A 17,444-nucleotide genomic window follows, 5' to 3' on the forward strand; every position below is an offset into this window, starting at 1 on the left:
TGAGCATCGAGGCTGTCAGGGGCCAGGAGCAGTTCTCAGCCATTTAAACACCTCCAGAGACCACCCTCTCAACTCCTCCTGGGTCCTGCCGGGGAAGGACCCCTGGTTCAGCAGGTACAGGGCCAGCCCAGGATGGTGGCTTATACTTGGTGTTCCTGCCACAGGGCTGAAGTCCCTGGGAGGGACCAATGGGCCTCTGGCCAGAGCCTTTGCTGATTTCACCGTCCCTGCCCCCCTCACCCTCCCAAGCTGCCACTAAGTGTCCCCTCTGGACTGGGCTGGGAAGGGAAGCCCATTTCATTTACACCCCAGGACACCCCCAAGGAAGACTGTGGATCGGAGGTCACCACTGACTGCCTGTGGGCCCCTGACCAACCCTGTTTCTTTCAAGGCCTCAGTTTCCCCATTTGTAAGTTGCAGCCACCCGCCAGGCTCCGGCTGCCACAGTGACTGTTCTTTTCCTCATTGCAGGGCTCCTGGGGCCTCCAGGGCCCCGTGGGCTTCCTGGAGAGATGGGGCGCCCCGGCCCCCCAGGACCACCCGGCCCAGCAGGCAACCCAGGCCCCTCACCAAACAGCCCCCAGGGCGCCCTCTACTCCCTGCAGCCGCCTACAGACAAAGACAGTGAGTAATGCCCCTGGGGGGCCAAGGGAGGGCTGAGCTACGCTGTGTTCTGGGAGGGATCAGCCTTCCTTAAAGGATCCTGGGAAGTGGACCCCACCACATGCCCATCCTGCTGCACCCAACTGGCTCACTCCTGCAGGCCTCCTCCAGGAAGCCCTCCATGCAGTGTCCAGGGCCTGCCAGTGACGATGACAGGGAACAGCTTGGGAGCAAGGCTTGGTCCTGGGGCTAAGCATCCTCAAGTGGACCCAGGGCTAGCCCCAAGCCCTGCTTTTGGCCCCAAAGTGGCCTGTCTCTGCCTCAGTGCTCAGCTCCCTGCCTTTGGGGTTGTGAGCCCCAAAGTTCACTCTGCTGGCTGACTTGGCCCAGATTCCCTACCTGGCTACCCCACCCCACCAAGGTTATCCCTTATTGTACTTGTTCCTCACCCGCCCTCACTGCAGGTCATTCAGCAGGTGTTTAGTGAGCACCTACTATGTGCAAGGCACAGGATTTTAGCCACTGGGGACACAGCAATGTGCAAAACAAACTCCGGCCCTCGGGGGCACCGGCCAGTCCAAGAGAGCCTCTGAACACACAGAAATGTCCACTTCTACCTTGGGAGGTGGGGACAAGGAGGTGCAGAGAGTGGACGGGACCAGGACTCTGGGCCTAAGGGACCATGAGGTAGTGGGAGGCCAGGCAGAGGAGTCCGTGAGCCCTGAGAGGAGCATCATTTCTGGTTAAGTGTCCCGGCAACTGGGGAAGATTTTTACTTTAATTTTTTTTGACATAGGGTCTGTTGCCCAGGCTGGAATGCAGTGGCGCCATCATAGCTCCCTGCAGCCTCTCACTCCTGGGCTCAAGGGATCCTCCCACCTCAGCCTCCTGAGTAGCTAGGACCCTAGGCATGTATCGCCACATCTAACTAATTTTTTTTTTTTTTTTTGAGTGGAGATGGGGTCTCACAATGTTGCCCAGGCTGGTCTGGAGATGTGGTCTCACTATGTTGGGCAGGCTGGTCTTGAACTCCTGGCCTCAAGTGATCCTCCCTCCTCAGCCTCCCAAAGTGCTGGGAGTACAGGTGTGAGCCACTGTGCCCAGCCTGGGGAAGGGTTTTATGAGGAAGGTGATGGCATTGCCCTGGGGCCCTGGGTCTGGTTCAGGATTGGCCAGGGTGAATCAGGTGAGGGGCTCATCCTGGAGGGCCATGGGAGATGGGTTGTTAAACAGACTCCACCCCTGCTCCAGGCAGTGTGGTCGCCATGATGTAATCAGACTCCCCAGGCACAGCTCAGAGGGGTGGGCATGGAGGGCTTCCTGGAGGAGTGAGCCAGTTGGGTGCAGCAGGATGGGCCTGTGGGATGGAGCCTGGAAGAAGATGCCAGCCTGGGGCATTGGAGAAGTGAGCAGGGCAGACCCAGAGTCTGAAGAGCCTGGAATGTTCTAGAAGGTATTTATGTTTTATATGAAGCTGACCGACCTGGCTTTCCCTGCTCTTTGTCTGGGCCTCTCCGTGCTCCTCTGAGCAGTGGGGGCAACAGTATCTGCAGCGGGCCCCAGGGTGATGGGAGGAGCCCCCCTGGGCTTCGTGTGGCCTGGCTCAGGGCTCAGTGCCCCGGACCAGCCTCCCAGCACTGCCAGGTCTGCCCCACCAGACCCCTGGCCGCTCCGCTCTTCCCACAGATGGAGACTCAAGGCTGGCCTCTGCCATCGTGGACACAGTGCTGGCAGGTGTCCCAGGACCCCGGGGTCCCCCTGGTCCACCAGGTAAGTGAATGGTGGGCTGGCCTGCATTGAGGACTCCATCCCCCCAGGGCTGGCCTGAGCCATGGGGCCTTGAGGGGAGCTGGAGGTCGGCTGGCGGTCCATGGCTTCTGGGCAATGCTGGGGACTGGGTCTGTCCCACCCGCTGTGTGGCAGGAAATGAAGCCCCTCGTTTCCTAGTGGCAGTGCCCCTGGGGGACTGGATGCATGAAACCCACGTGATTCTGCTGGAATAAGATGCCTGCATGAGGCTGCCCTTGCATGGGCCAGAGTGGGACACACACCAGTGGGGGATGGGGTCAGGACAGAGGTGGCAGGAAGTCCCTACCTTTGAGGCAGAAACCAAGGGGTTCAAAGGGGCTGGGACCTGGCTGTCAGTCCTGGCCTGACCTTCCATCATCCACATTCCTCATTGGGGGAAGAATGCAGGGCTGACTGCCTTGTCCCTTTCTGCCCGGGAAGGGAGTCATTCATTCATTCATTCATTTGTTTATTCACTGATTCATTCATTCTTTTATTCATTCATTTATTCATTCATTCGTTCATTCATTCATTCATTTGTCCATTCATTCATTCGTTCATTCATTCATTCGTTTATTCATTCATTCATTCATTTCTCTGTGCGTCTCACAAACATTCATTGAACATCTGCCACTACATGTGCCAGACAGTGATCTAGGTTCCCGGAACTCCTGAATAATCAAAACAAACATCATCGAGAAACTCTCATTCTGGTGGAGGACAGGAATATCATCATAAATTGTGACTTCGACAGGATCTGAGGGAGCTACAAGGGAGAAGCTGGGGCGTGGCGGGGAGGCGCCGTCAAAACGTGACATTTCAGAAGATGCTCTAGGGAGGAGAGGGAGTAAGCTCAGAGGGTACCTGGGGGCCTTCAGGTGACATGCCAGGTCTCTGGAGAACTGGACAGACTCCTGACATTTGTCCCCTGGAGTGCCTGTCCTCACATGCCCTCTCCAAACCTGGGAGCCAGGCCATGCTGGACAGCCCAACATGCGGCTCCCTGCACCACAGGGAGGGATCATGAGAGACCCTCCCTGGGCCCGTGTGGGGTCATGAGAGACCAAGACCTTACTCTTCCTAGCAGGCTGGAGATTAGTCATGAATCTCCCTCCCTGAGCTGGGCACACACATGAGACCCAGCCCGGCCCTCTGGGTACTCCACATCCCATGGGGCAGACAGACGTGTAAACCTCAGTGGCCATGGGCGGTGGCTGGTTTACATAAGGGATTTGCCTGGAGAAGCAGTGGAAAGCTGGGAAGGCTTCCTGGAAGAGGTGATGCTCTGTGTCAGACTGGTAGGAAAACCAGTAGGAAAGGGTTTGCTGGGAGAGTGGAGGAATAGGGAGGCTCCAGGAGGAAGGACAGCTTTAGCAGAGACGCCAGGAGGGTGTCTGGCTGGGGCAGGGAGGGTGGGAAGGGGCCGGGCTGAGGACTTCAGGAGCCCTGAAAGGGATGTAACTGGGCTTGGATTTTTGAGAGTGTACTCTTGGGGGCCATAGGAAGGGTCGATGATCAGGAGGCTGTTATAGTAACCCCAGCAAGAGGGATGGGTCCCAGGTCCCGAGGCGGGAAAGACCGGAGAGACGTACCAGGGGACCAACTGGCTGGGGCGTGGGAGCAGTCTGGACGGACTTCCTCCCTTGCCTGCCGGGTCTCGGGATTGGGGCTGCGTCGTGGACGAGGCCCTGGGAGGAGGAGGTGTGGGAGCTGTGGGCAGCCGGTGGAGAGGACCCTGGGCTCCGAGGATGGAGACCTCGTTGAGAGGGGGTGTGCCTCCCTCCTCCCCACACCATTCATTCCCAAACCCTCCTTTACTTCCCATGGAGACAGATCAAGAACAGGTGCTGGGGTGGGAGGCTGGGGGCGCCCCCTCTCTGGCCCCAGGTGACCATCTGTGACTCTGCCCACAGGTCCCCCTGGGCCTCGAGGTCCCCCAGGACCCCCAGGAACACCTGGATCCCAGGTAAGGACTTTGCCATTTTAGGTAGGGTGTGGGAGGCGGCGGGTGGCGGGTGGCCTTGTCTCCCTAGGGGAGAAGAAGCACCTTTTTACCAGCAAGAGTCACTCAGGAAGGAGCCAGTCGGCCTGGCCGGTGAGATTTTATTTTATTTTGTTTTATTTATTTTTAAATTTATTTTTGAGATGGAGTCTCTCTCTGTCACCCAGGCTGGAGTGCAGTGGCGCCATCTCAGCTCATGCAACCTCCACCTCCTGGATTCAAGTGATTCTCCTGCCTCAGCCTCCGGATTAGCCGGGACCACAGGCGCACGCCACCACGCCCAGCTAATTTTTGTATTTTTAGTAAGAGATGGGATTTCACCATGTTGCCCAGGCTGGTCTCGAACATCCGACCTCAAGTAATCCATCCGCCTCAGCCTCCCAAAGTGCTGGGATTACAGGTGTGAGCCACTGCGCCCAGCCGAGATTTTAATTTTATTAGCAGCAGTGACTCTTTGCTGAGTATATCCTCCTCCTGTTATGCCAGGGAGGTGTTAGCATCACTCGCATTTCACAGATGAGCTAACTGAGTCCCAGAGAGACCAGATGCTGCCTGAGGTTGTACAGAGGGTGTAGGCAGAGTTGGGCCAGGTCACAGAATCTCTGCCTCAGCCCCTCACCTTGCCCTGAGAATTGCCCATGGGGAGGCGGCACCCCAAGCCTGACTCAGCCCCTAACCCCAGGTTCGCCCTGCCTCTGCAGCTGTCAGAAGTCAGGAAGAGCAGGTACAAAGGCCCTGAGGCAGGGAAAAGGCTGGCAGGTAGTGAGCAATGGAGTGTGTGGTGTCGGATGAGGCACAGTGGGCAGGGCCTTATCTACGGGTCCCAGGTGTGGGCTTTTGTTACAGTGGATGGAATTATTGAGTTTCAGGGAGGGTGATTCCATGATCTTATTTACATCTTTAAAAAGCTCCTCTGAGGGGCCAGGTGAGATGGCTGACGCCTGTAATCCCAGCACTTTGGGAGGCTAAGGTGGGAGGATCGCTTGAGCCCGGGAGTTTGAGACCAGCCTGGGCAACATAGCAAGACCCCATCTCTATAAAAAATTTAAAAATTAGCCTGGTGTGGTGGCGTGCGCCTGTAGTCCCAGCTACTTGGGAGGCTGAGATGGGAGGATGGCTTGAGCCCAGGAGTTGGAGGCTGCAGTGAGCTCTCATGGCACCACTGCCCTCCAGCCTGGGTGACAGAGCAAGACCCTGTCTCATTAAAAAAAATTAATTAATTAATTAAATATGTAAAAATAGAAAGTAGACTCGGCATGTCTGGCCAATGGAATAAGTCTGGTGAGAAGGGCAGGGAAGGCTGTAGTTTCACTCCCTGGTGTCTGTCAGGAGCAGCTGGGAGGACCAGGGAGGCATTTCCTGAGAAGGGGAGGCTTCGGGATGGGGGGCACCAGGAGTTCCCTTTGGAGAGAGGGGGAGTGGGCACCTCATGGTCAGCTGGGTGGCGATGTCAGGGGACAGCTGGACACGGGCCTGGGGCTCCCGGGAGCCGTCTGGGCTGACATCAGCACACGTGGGACCCTGGCCATCGCTGTTAGTATCACTAGTTCTCTCCACACACCGGACCACCTGCTCCCCTTCTCTGCCTGACAGCCGTACGTGGCATTGGCCCATTTTGCAGGTGAGAAGACTGAGGGCTCAGCTGGGGTCCCTAGTCAATAGCAGCTCCAGGTGGCTCCAGGACTGGAGGCCTTTGAGTCTGCCCTTCCCGTGCCGGCCGGGCCATCCTCCTCTCCCTTCCTCTTCTGCAGACTCAGAGCACAGTGGGCGGGGAGGGGGGTGGCCAGAGGGCACTGGAGACTTGGCCAGGACCGGCAGGCCTCACACGCTTCCTTTGGTTTTCTGCAGGGCCTGGCTGGAGAGCGAGGCACAGTGGGGCCGTCCGTAAGTGTGGGCTGTGCAGATGGGCCTGGGCCACTCCCAGGCAGAGGCTCTGATGCAAGCCCAGGGCACTGGGTGGCGGGGGTTGGTGGGGGGGTTCAGCCCTGGGTGGCCCTGCTGGAGCTCAGGCAACAGGGAGGGACTGAGAAAGGACTCAAATCGCCTCCTGCTGCGGGGTGAGGAGGGAAGCGACCTCCAGAGAGTGCGCTGACAGTCCTGAGTGCCTGCAGCCCTGGATTAATGCACTGTGTGACCCTGGCCTTTCATTCATGCGCTGTGTGGCCTGGGGCCATAGGTTAACATGCCGTGTGACCTGGGAAGTCCCTTCTTTTCTCTGAACCTCCCAGAAATAGGCTTAGACAGCCTTCCTTTAATCGACTTTCTTGGAAACAAGAACTTATGAGTCTCCCAGCCTGACCAACATGGTGAAACCCTGTCTCTACTAAAAATACAAAAATTAGCTGAGTGTGGTGGTACGCATCTGCAGTCCCAGCCACTCTGAAGGCTGAGACAGAAGAATTGCTTGAACCCGGAGGCAGAGGTTGCAGCGAGCCAGGATCACGCCACTGCACTGCAGCCTGGGTGACAGAGTGAGACTCCATCTCAAAAAAAAAAAAAAAATTATGAGTATAGACTCCTGCCTCTAGGGCCAAGGAGTCAGGCGCTTCCTTGATGCCCAAGCCTCACTGTAGGGGTGTGGGGCGGGGAGGAGGAGTGGAGCTTTGCTGAGCACCTACTATGTGCTGGCCACAGTGGAGGTGCTCTCTTCCCCCACAGCGCATGTAAGCTTCACAGCGACCCCAAGAGACCATGCTTTATTATCCCCGTTTGCCAAAACTGGCCACTAAGGCTCAGAGAGGTTAAGTAACTTGCCCAAAGCCACACAGCGAGGCAGTGGTGGAGCCTGGATTTGAACCAGGGAGTGTCAAGCTCCCAAGCCATGCCTCCTCCCGTGCTTGTCTAGTGACCAAACACAACACAGGAGACACAATGATGGCACTTCTAGGTGCCAGGCTCTAATCTAAGCTCATTGTCCCTATTGATTAACTTAATCCTCCTAACAACAGATGAGATAGATACTATTACTGATCCCATTTTACAGTTGGGAAAACTGAGGCACCAAGAAGTACAGTGACCCACTCAAGGCCACACAGTAGTAGCTGGACATTTACATGTTACTGTGAGCTGGGCATGGTGGTGGCTCATACCTGTAACCCCAGTGCTTTGGGAGGCCAAGGCAGGAGGATCATTTTGAGGCCAGGAGTTCAAGGCCACCCTGGACAACATAGTGAGACCCACCCCCATCTCTATAAAAATATTAAAAAATTAGCTGGGTTGTGGTGGTGCGTGCCCATAGTCCTAGTTACTCAGGAGGCTGAGGTTGGAGGATCACTTGAACCCAGGAGGTAGAGGCTGCAGTGAGCCATGATCGCGTCACTATACTCCAGCCTGGGCAACAGAGCAAGACCCTGTCTCAAAAAATTGGCTGGGTGCGGTGGCTCACGCCTGTAATCCCAGCACTTTGGGAGGCCAAGGCAGGCAGATCACCTGAAGTCAGGAGTTCGAGATGAGCCTGGCCAACATGGTGAAACCCCGTCTCTACTACAAATACAAAAATTAGCCAGACATGGTGGCGCATGCCTGTAATCTCAGCTACTCAGGAGGCTGAGGCAGGAGAATCGCTTGAACACAGGAGGCAGAGATTGCAGTGAGCCGAGATCACAACACTGCACCCCAGCCTGGGTGACAAGAGTGAAACTCCATCTCAAATAAATAAATAAATAAAATACAATAAAATATGTGACTTTGAATCTGGTATTACTGGCCTTGTGTTGGAGACAGACAGCAGCCCTTCCAGGCAGGCTACTCAATCCTGGAAGGGCCCAGGCATGAACTTGCCGGCTTCCTAGCCTGAGTCTCTTCTGCCCCAGAAGCAGAATGAAGCACTTACAGCCAACCCTGGACACTTCCCTGCCATGCCAGGCTGAGCAGGCTGTGCCCCGGAGCCGTGGCCTCCCCTGCTGTGCTCAGCCCAGGGCAGGAGTCCCCTGGGCCCAGCACCCGTTTCCCAGGCCCTGCCTGCCCAGCCTGCCCCTGACTCCCTGCAGGCCCCCAGGGAACTGGAGAGGGTGGAGAGGTGCCCCCACCTCCCGTTCCAGTGTTGACTGTGTGACTTGCTTCTTAGGGTGAACCTGGCGTGAAGGGGGAAGAAGGAGAGAAAGCCGCCACTGCAGAGGTAACCATGGCTGCCCTTCACGTTCCCTCCCGCCTCCTTGGCTGTGAGCACTGTCACGGGAGGGCAGGTGCCCCACAGATCTGCGCTGACCGTCAGCCAGCCCCGAGCTGGGTGCTGGGCCACCGGGTGTACAGGGCCCCTGCCCTGAGAAGTTCACAGCCCCATGGGAACTCAGCTGAGTACAGCAGTGATTGCAAGAGAGTGAGAAGGTGGCTGGGTGGGGATGCCACAGAGGGGGTGATTGGCCCTTGGGGGGGCTTCCCGGGACAGGGAGAGGAGTCGCAAACTTGTAGGAAAGACAGTCTCCCTGGAGGAGGCGTCAGGCTGCAGAGTCCCTCTCAACGGACCGGGTTCTCCCGTGAATGGCGTCTCGGCATGGGCGTGCTTACAAGGTCAAGGGTGCTGGGGGACTGAAGGGGACAGGGCTGCTGGATGTGGTAGAGGATGGATGGAGGAAGAGGGACTTGCAAACTGGGAATCTGAGGAGAGAAGATTGGAGCAAGCGGAGGCTGGGGCCAGTGGGAGGGGGCAGCCAGGGCACGGGCTTGGCTGTGGGGACCTGCGGCTTCTGGGAGGAGGAGGGGAGGCTGAAGCTGGGGTAGTGGATGAAGGGGATGAAGGGCTCATCTGAGGTCCAAAGTCAAATTCCTCCCCTCAGCTGGCCCTGAGCTAGGTGCTGGGCCACCAGGTGTACAGGGTCCCTGCCCTGAGAAGTTCACAGCCCAGTGAGGGACACAGCTGAGGACAGCAGTGATTGCCAGAGAATGAGAAGGTTGTTGCGTGGGGGTGCCACTGAGATGGGGCCGGCAGGGGGGGCCTTGAAAGCTAAAAGCGAAAGTGCCTGAGCAGGGTTTCCCTTGAGTGTGTCAAAGCTGGGTGGGCAAAACAGCTGGGAGGGCCAGGGCGGGTCCAGGGGACCTTCAGGAAGTCCTTGCAAGACCAGAGAAAGGGAAGAGGCTGGAATCAAGGCCGCTGTGAGGGGTGCAGGAGGTAGTAAGAGGGGCTGAGGCATGAGCCTGATACACTGGTCACTCACAGCAGTACTCTGAGAGGTGACTGTGACCCCCTCCATTTCATAACAGCAACCTGCCTGGCCTGTAATCCCAGCACTTTGGGAGGCTGAGGTAGGAGAATCGCTTGAGCCCATGAGATCAAGACCAGCCTGGGAAACCTAGCGAGACCCCATTTCTTAAAAAAAAAAAAAAAAAAAAAAAGTAATGAGACAGGCGTGGTAGTGTGTGCTTATAGTCCCAGCTACTTGGGAGGCTGAGGCAGGAGGATTGCTTGAGCCCAGGAGGTTGAGGCTGCAGTGAACTACAATCGTGCCACTGTACTCCAGTCTGGGTGACAAAGCAAGACCTTGTCTCTAAAACCTAAAAAAACCCCAAAAAACAAAAACAAAAAAACCAACCACCTGTGGCTTAGGAACATGAGGCTCAGCCAGGTCCCTTGGTCTCCCCTGCTCCTTCTCTGAGTTGGGGACACGACACTGACATCCCTGTCCCAGACCCTGTAATTGGCTCAACTTCCCATTGTCTTTGGTCCCCTGGTGGGCAGACCTTTCTCCTATAACCCAGTAGGATGCTTTTTGGTTTCCTTTTGTTTCATTTTAAGCTAAATTAATCTGAACATAAGACAGATCTGTCATGTTACACCAGCAAAAGGCACCCATTCTGCTGCCAACTCCCAGGGCTGGGCAGGATGGGGACAGTGGCTTTGTCTCCTCATCATCACTTTTCAGAGTGGCCTCGACACCTGCCTTCTCAATAAGTCAGCACCCTGTCTTGGCTGACTCAGGTGTCTCTGTGCACAAGGTCCTCTGCTTGTGTGCAGACCGGGCCCTTGAAATACAGACTCTGCCATCACGCCAGCCTGCCTGCCTGCACTTTGAAATGGTGGCTTTCTCTGCTGTCTTTCTTGCCTGGCATGGCCACACCTACCCTGCCCCTTGCCTGCTGTTTGGTGGCGAGCTCTTGGGCATTCAAGGAAGGAAACAAGCAAAGAACTTCCTACCTTCGGGCCCTGGGATAGGTGCTCTGTCCTGGTTAGGGTATTTTCAGGACATGTGGGGGAAGCTGACAGGCAGCTATGGTGGAAGGAAAAGCTCAGGCTGGAGGCTGACAGGTGTGGATCTGCAGTCTGGATCGGCCGCTTTGCCAGGCTGTGTGGCCGTGGGGAGGTTGCCTGCCCTCTCTGTGTTTCAAGCTCTTTGTCTGTGAACAGGGTTTGAAGCCCTGTCTGGCACATAGTTGATGATGTTCAGTCTATGCTTATTTGCAGTGGTGAGGGTGTCGGGTGGGAAGAGGCAGGGGTGGGGGGCTTTGAGGACACATACACTGTCACTGTATCAGGATGGCCCTGACCCCTTCCTCATGGCCGGCCCTGACCCTGCCTGTTTCCTCCCCGCCAGGGCGAGGGGGTGCAGCAGCTGAGAGAGGCCCTGAAGATCCTGGCAGAGCGAGTCCTCATCCTGGAGCACATGATTGGGATCCACGGTGAGCAGTGACCAGGATCAGCGGGCTGGGAATCTCTCTCCCCTCCTTCCTCTCCCAATGCTGCCCTCATGGCTGCTGCCTAGGGTCTCTGGTCTCCCTCCCTTGCCCCTAGTCTGACCCTCCCCCTCCCCTGCTCAAGGACCCTCAGTGGCTCCCTGCTGCCCTTGACAGACTTCCAAGTGCATCAGCCCAGTTTCCCAGCCCCTCCCTAGTATAGCCATGGTGGGCAGAGCCCTGCCCAGCCATGTTGAGGCCCCTCCCACCTCCATGCCTTTGCTCGGGCCATGCCTCTGCCTGGTGAACACTGACTGCCACTTCGGGACCTGCTCAAAGATCTCGGCCTCTGTGAAGCCTTCTCTGAACCCTCCTCTTTGTCCCTATGGTGACATAGGGGAGGCTTCCATTCCATGCTGGGGTTTCTGTGACCCTCTGGGAGTCCCTTGTGCAGAACAGTGAATGATACCTCTGCAGGGCCTGGAGTAGAGGCCCATCAGCATTTGCTGGAAAATGAATGGATGAATGAATAGGTGAATGGACAGGTGGGTGGGTGAGTGAGTGAGTGAACGAATGGCTGGTTGCCTGGATGAATGTATGCATGGGTGGATGCATAGATAGATGAATGAATGAATGAATGAATTGTTGAATGGACAGGTGGATAGGTGGATGAGTGAGTGGATGGGTAGATGCATGGATGAATAAATGAATGGGTGGATGGATAGATGGATAAATGGATGGATGGATGGATGAGTGGACAGGTGGGTGGGTGAATGAGTGAATGGATGGATGGATGGATGATGGATGAGTGAACAGGTGGGTGGATAAATGAGTGGATGGATAAGTGGGCAGGTGGGTGGGTAAATGAGTGAATAGATGCATGGATGAATGAATGAATGGGTGGATGGGCGGGTGAGTGGACAGGTAGGTGGGTGAATAAGTGAGTGAATGGATGGATGGATGGATGATAGATGGATGGGTAAATGAGTGAATGAATGGATAGATGCATAGATAAATGAATGACTGAGTGGATGGATGGATGGATGGATGGATGGATGGATGGATAGATGCATAGATGAATCAATGAGTGGATAGGTGGGTGGGTGGATAAGTGAGTGGATGGATGGGTGGATGGATGGATGGATGGATGGATGGATGGATGGATGGATGGATGGATGGACGGGCAGGTAAATGAGTGAATGAATGGATAGATGCATAGATAAATGAGTGACTGAGTGGGTGGATGAATGGGTGAATGGATGAATGGGTGGATACACAGATGGATGAATGGGTCAATGGACAGGTGGATGGGTGAATGAGTGAATGAATGGATGGATGCATGGATCCATGAATGAATGAATGCATAAGGGGCTGAAAGCCTGCTGCTGCCTTGCTTCTCCACGCTGGGCAAGAGCATCTCTCCGTGGCCACATATCATGATCAAATGTACCCCCAAGTGTTCCTAAGGCTCTACCTCGAGTCCACCCTCCTGCTCTCCTTCCAGATCCCCTGGCCTCCCCAGAGGGAGGTTCTGGCCAGGATGCTGCCCTGAGAGCCAACCTCAAGATGAAGAGGGGTGGCGCCCAACCCGATGGGGTCCTTGCTGCCCTGCTTGGGCCCGACCCTGGACAGAAGAGCGTGGACCAGGCCAGCAGCAGGAAGTGAGAGCCCACTGCTCCAGGACACCCTGTCCTGGCTAGAGACCCAGCCCCAGAGGCCTGAGCCGCCGCTGTTTCCTAAAGATGCCCCCAGGGGAACTGGGCTCCAGGCATGGATGATTGTGAGGACATGGGGGGCTTTGGGGACAGATAATGTCTCCAGGGGCAGGGTCTGGAGGGGCCAACACCCTCATCAGAGCCCTCCTCTGGCCTGTCCCCTCCCCTACCCCCACTCCCGGCTGGAGACGGGGTCTGGGTGGGCTGGGTGCTGGGAATGAGAATAATCCTAATACCCATCATTTATTGAGTCCCTGCTGTAACTGGCCCTGTCCAGGGAACTTTCGTTACGTTGTCTCATTATTTAACCCTTAGGAGGTAAGCTTATTATCCCCACTTCACAAGGGGACCGAGGCTCAGACGGTAGAAATAACCCTCTCTTGGCCACCAGATCACGGGTGGCAGGGGCAGGATTTGAACCCAGGACCCTCAGTTCCTGAAGCCATGTTCTCTCGACCCTGCCAGCTTCCCCTCTTCGAGAGAAAACTCAGACAGGGAGGGCGCAGGGCCAGAACGGCTCCTTAAGGCAGGCAGGGCTGCGGGGAGGCTGGGCCAGCCAGCCTGAGGGGGTAGGCAGGGTCCTGCAGGGCCTGGGGCTTCCCTTCCTCATCCCCCTTCCCCACTGGCTGGGGGAGCAGCCTGGACTGCAGCTCTCAGAGGCCAGGGAGACCCTGAATAAATCACTGCCAGCCATACGGACTTGAGGACCTTGAGAGAGAAGCATTGGGGGTGCAAGTGTCCACCAAACCAGATAGGCATCCCTGGCCACTGCCTCCCAGTCTTGCTGAGCCCACCCGCTCTCTCTGGGTCCATCCCATCCCTGAGCCAGGGGAGGCAGCATTTCATGGGCATGTCTATCAGAGGTGGGACTTGCAGCCTCTGCCCCACGAGTTTGTCTCTCAGTGGACTCTATAGGTTTGCTACTTTTGCATGACACAGCAAGCCCAGTGTCCCCTTTGCAAGCTGCAGAGAGGGAAACAGAGTCCCAGGCCTGCTGGGAAGAGATGCTCCTGCCTCCCACCTTCCAGAGTTGGGGGCCTGGCAGGCTCCATGGCAGGCACCAGGTCCCTAGCAGCCCAGAACAGCTCTGACTGGAGCCCTCAAGGCCTCTGGGGCCAGGGTCTCCGTGATCAGCTCAGCCCTGGTGTTCCTCTCTTGCTGGGCTGGGACCTGGGACACAGCCACGGCAGCAAACTCAGAGAATTGAAGGTGCTGGCGCCACCCTGGGGCACTCTGTCTTCACAGCAGGAGTGACTGTCTCCAGTGCTCTTGGTACTCCTGTTTGGCTGTGGCCTGGTCCCTCTGGGCCCTGGGATCTTCTTCTGGCCCTTGAGGCAGGTCTGGAGAGGCAGTCTCTGTCTTCATGGAGGGGTGGTCAGAGGCGGGCGGGACCACCAGCCTGTAGCGTTATTATTATATGTGACAATAAAGGTGCTCTCCCCACTGTGGGTCTGTTTGTGTGGTGACAGCTCTGCAGGAGGCTGGTCTGCATCTTACCGGCCAGGTGCCAGGGAAGCTGTGAGCAGCTCCAGCCAGGCCCGGGGTGACCACAGGGCCTCTGTGGCAGGGAGGTCCAGCTCTGCCCTCAGGACCTCCAGGGAGGGGGCTGGGAGTGACACACGATAGGCAAGCCCCGGATTGGGGCTTAACCTGCAAGGGCTCTTGGCTTCACCCAGCAAAGAATTCAAGGGCAAGCTGGAGGCAAGAGAAACAGCTTTATTGGAGGGGCAGGACTACAGCTCCATGACTGCTCGTGCAGAGCAGGGCTTCTCCCCAGGCAGAGAATAGCAGCTCAGGGCAGTTCTGCACCATATTTATACCTACTTTTAATTGCATGCAGATTAAGGGCTGGTTTATGCAGAAATTTCTAGGGAAAGGGTGGTTATTTCCGGGTCATCAGGTCTTTGCCATGGAAAAGGGCAGTGGCTCCTGAGTGTTGCCATGGTGATGGCAAACTGACATGGCACACTGGTGGGCGTGTCCAATGGAAAGATGCTTCCGCTCTGTCCCTGTTTTGGCTAGTCCTCAATTTGGTCCTGTGTCTGAGCCCTACCTCCAGAGTCAAGATCTGTTTCTTACCTCCAGAGGGTGAGGGAAGCCCCTTCAGAGGCCACCTCACCCCTCCACCCAACCACACTGTCTATAAACTGGGCCTGGCCCCCAGCTCTGCAAGAAGGTGAGTTAAGTTGGGGCGGCCTCAGGGCTCTTGGAGGAGCAACCCTGATCCTGCTCCATGCTCCTGTCCAGGTCTGGGGTCAGTGACATATCAGAGACCCCAGGGAGACCCATATACCCTGATGACAAGTCCCAGGTACAACACAGAGACCCAAACCACTGCTGAATCACCCTGTGACCCTTGTAGGTATTAAGCTCTTGCCCTGTGTATTATGTCTGTTCTCACTCTGCCAATAAAGATATACCCGAGACTGGGTAATTTATGGTAATTTATAAAGAAAAAGATGTTTAATGGACTTACAGTTCCATGTGGCTGGGGAGGCTTCACAATCATGGTGGAAGGGGAAAGGCACGTCTTGCATGGCAGCAGGCAAGAGAGAGAATGAGAACCAAGCAAAAGGGGTTTCCCCTTATAAAACCATCAGATCTCGTGAGACTTACTTATTCACTACCATGAGAACAGTATGGAGGAACCGCCCCCATGATTAAATTATCTCCCAACAGGTCCCTCCCACAACACATGGGAATTATGGGAGCTACAATTCAACATGAGATCTGGGTGAGGACACAGCCAAACCATATCACCCTGTGTCCAGTGCCCAGTGCTCAGCTACAGACAGAACCCTGCCTGCCTCTGCCTGGAGCTTGAAATCCTATAGAGAGGGTGAGCATTGAACACCACACCAGGCCAGGCATGGTGGATCACACCTGTAATCCCAGCACTTAGAGAGGACAAAGTGGGAAGATTGCTTGAGGTCAGGAATTCAAGACCAGCCTGGACAACATAGCTAGACCCTGTTGCTACAAGTGTTTTTTTTTTTTTTTTTAAAGTTAGCCTGGCATGGTGGTGGCTTGTCCCTGTAGTCCCAGATACTTGGGAGGCTGAAGTGGGACGATCATTTGAACCCAGGAGTTGGAGGCTGCAGTGAGCCATGATTCCGCCATTGCACTCTAGCCTGGGCAACAGAGCGAGATCCGGTCTCTAAAAATTAAACATAAAAAAACACCACAGCAATCATGTGGAGGAAGGAGATTCCAGGCTGCTCTGAGAGTCCAGGACCCAGAGACCAAAAGGGCAGGGAGAGCAGGGAAACAGAAAGAGAGAAAGAGGGAGGGAAGGGAAAAGAGAGACAGAGCAAGAGGCGAGAGGGAGAGAGAAACAAGAGACAGAGACAGAGAGATGGCCTGCCAGAGCTTCATCTGTCTTTATTTGCTGGTGAATAGGCAACACGTTCCTTAAGCCGGAGCCTCTTCTTCCAAGCCCCATTGGCTCTGGGATACTTCCTCCAGCCACAGGTCCTGGGCCCAGCAGGCACAGCTCATTCAGCAAACAGGGAGACCCGGGGTCGGGCAGGTGCCTGAAGTCAAACCTTGGCAGGAACCACTGGGCAACTGTCCCAGGCAGGGAGTGTGAGTAGGTTTAGGCTGGAGAAATGTCCTCGCCCCTTTTATTCCTTTTCCCAGGGCAGGAGTTACAAAACCACGCATCTTTCCTTCCTTCCTCCTTTCCTTCATGTAACAAATCTTTTATTGATCACCTTAATTGAGCCAGGCCCTGAGAACTTTCCATGAACAAAAGACAGGAATCTCTGCCCTCAATGAACCAACGCTTCAAGGGGAAGAAGTCAAAATAGGCAATAAACAGCCTGGACAACATAGTGAGACCCCATCTCTAAAAAAAAAAAAATTAGCCAGATGTGGTGGCATGCACCTGTTGTCCCAGCCACTTGGAGGCTGAGGCAGGAGGATCACTTGAGCTTGGGAGGTCAAGGCTGCAGTGAGCTGAGATCACACCACTGCATTCCAGCCTGGGCAACAGAGCAAGACCCCGTCTCAAAAACAAAACAAAACAAAACCAAAATAGGTGGTAAGTGTATGTATTTTTAAAGCCAATAAGATGATAGGCTAGAAGCCTAGCCACGTCCAGATGATCAGCAATATGGAAGCGCTAAGGACTGGGAGCTGACAATTAGTCTTATTTTTTAATTTTTAAAACTTATTTTAATTTTGTGTGTGTGTGTGAAAAAACACCTCCTCTCCTCCTTGGGGAAGCAGACCAGCAGGCATTCATTCCCCCAGACCCAGTGGCAGAGATGGGATCCTAAGAGAGAGATTTGCCTGCATTACCTAGGACACCAAAACGTCCTGCCCCAGGGCTGCCCCCACTTCCCCCAAGGTCTTCCCCTTCCTTTTGTCTTAAAGGCAGACTCCACGCCCAATGACACCTTTGTCTTTCAATCAAGGGGTTGCTGAGTTTGGAGGGTGTGAACTGAGCTTAGACGCTCCAGGTGGGCACCCTCAGGTGGGCACACGAAGCCCCCCGTGGTGCAAGGTGGAAGCTAGTGAGGGAAGCAGAAGGGCTGGAGGATGACAGGGGCTGGCTCTCCCGGCTGTCACCTTCCAGCACAAGACTCTGACAGTCACAATTCCAACGTCAAACCTGGCCTTCCAGGTCCTTGGAAAAAGATATCTGTCAAAGTAGGAAGATAGAGCCTGTGTTACTTAACAGCTGGTTAGCTCAATGTATAACTTTTTTTCTCTCTCTCTCTCTGTCG

General features: G+C 55.4%; 1 protein-coding gene across 6 annotated transcripts in view; it reads left to right on the forward strand.

Annotated features, from left to right (window-relative positions):
* COL26A1 (collagen type XXVI alpha 1 chain) overlaps positions 1 to 14,158 on the forward strand; it is a 196,637-nt gene extending 182,479 nt beyond the window's left edge. For 4 of the 6 annotated variants that reach the window (XM_017011744.2, NM_001278563.3, NM_133457.5 and 1 more), the window contains exons 7-13: positions 472 to 624; positions 2,290 to 2,373; positions 4,305 to 4,357; positions 6,242 to 6,277; positions 8,460 to 8,510; positions 10,921 to 11,005; positions 12,504 to 14,158. In XM_017011744.2, the coding sequence (XP_016867233.1) occupies positions 472 to 624; positions 2,290 to 2,373; positions 4,305 to 4,357; positions 6,242 to 6,277; positions 8,460 to 8,510; positions 10,921 to 11,005; positions 12,504 to 12,664 (623 nt within the window). In that variant the 3' untranslated portion in view covers positions 12,665 to 14,158. The remainder of the gene's footprint in view (positions 1 to 471; positions 625 to 2,289; positions 2,374 to 4,304; positions 4,358 to 6,241; positions 6,278 to 8,459; positions 8,511 to 10,920; positions 11,006 to 12,503) is intronic. The other 2 variants (XM_017011743.2, XM_047419882.1) reach the window with 1 other exon arrangement.

The sequence above is a fragment of the Homo sapiens genome, chromosome 7 (assembly GCF_000001405.40).
Source record: "Homo sapiens chromosome 7, GRCh38.p14 Primary Assembly".
In the NCBI taxonomy this organism is placed as follows: domain Eukaryota; kingdom Metazoa; phylum Chordata; class Mammalia; order Primates; family Hominidae; genus Homo; species Homo sapiens.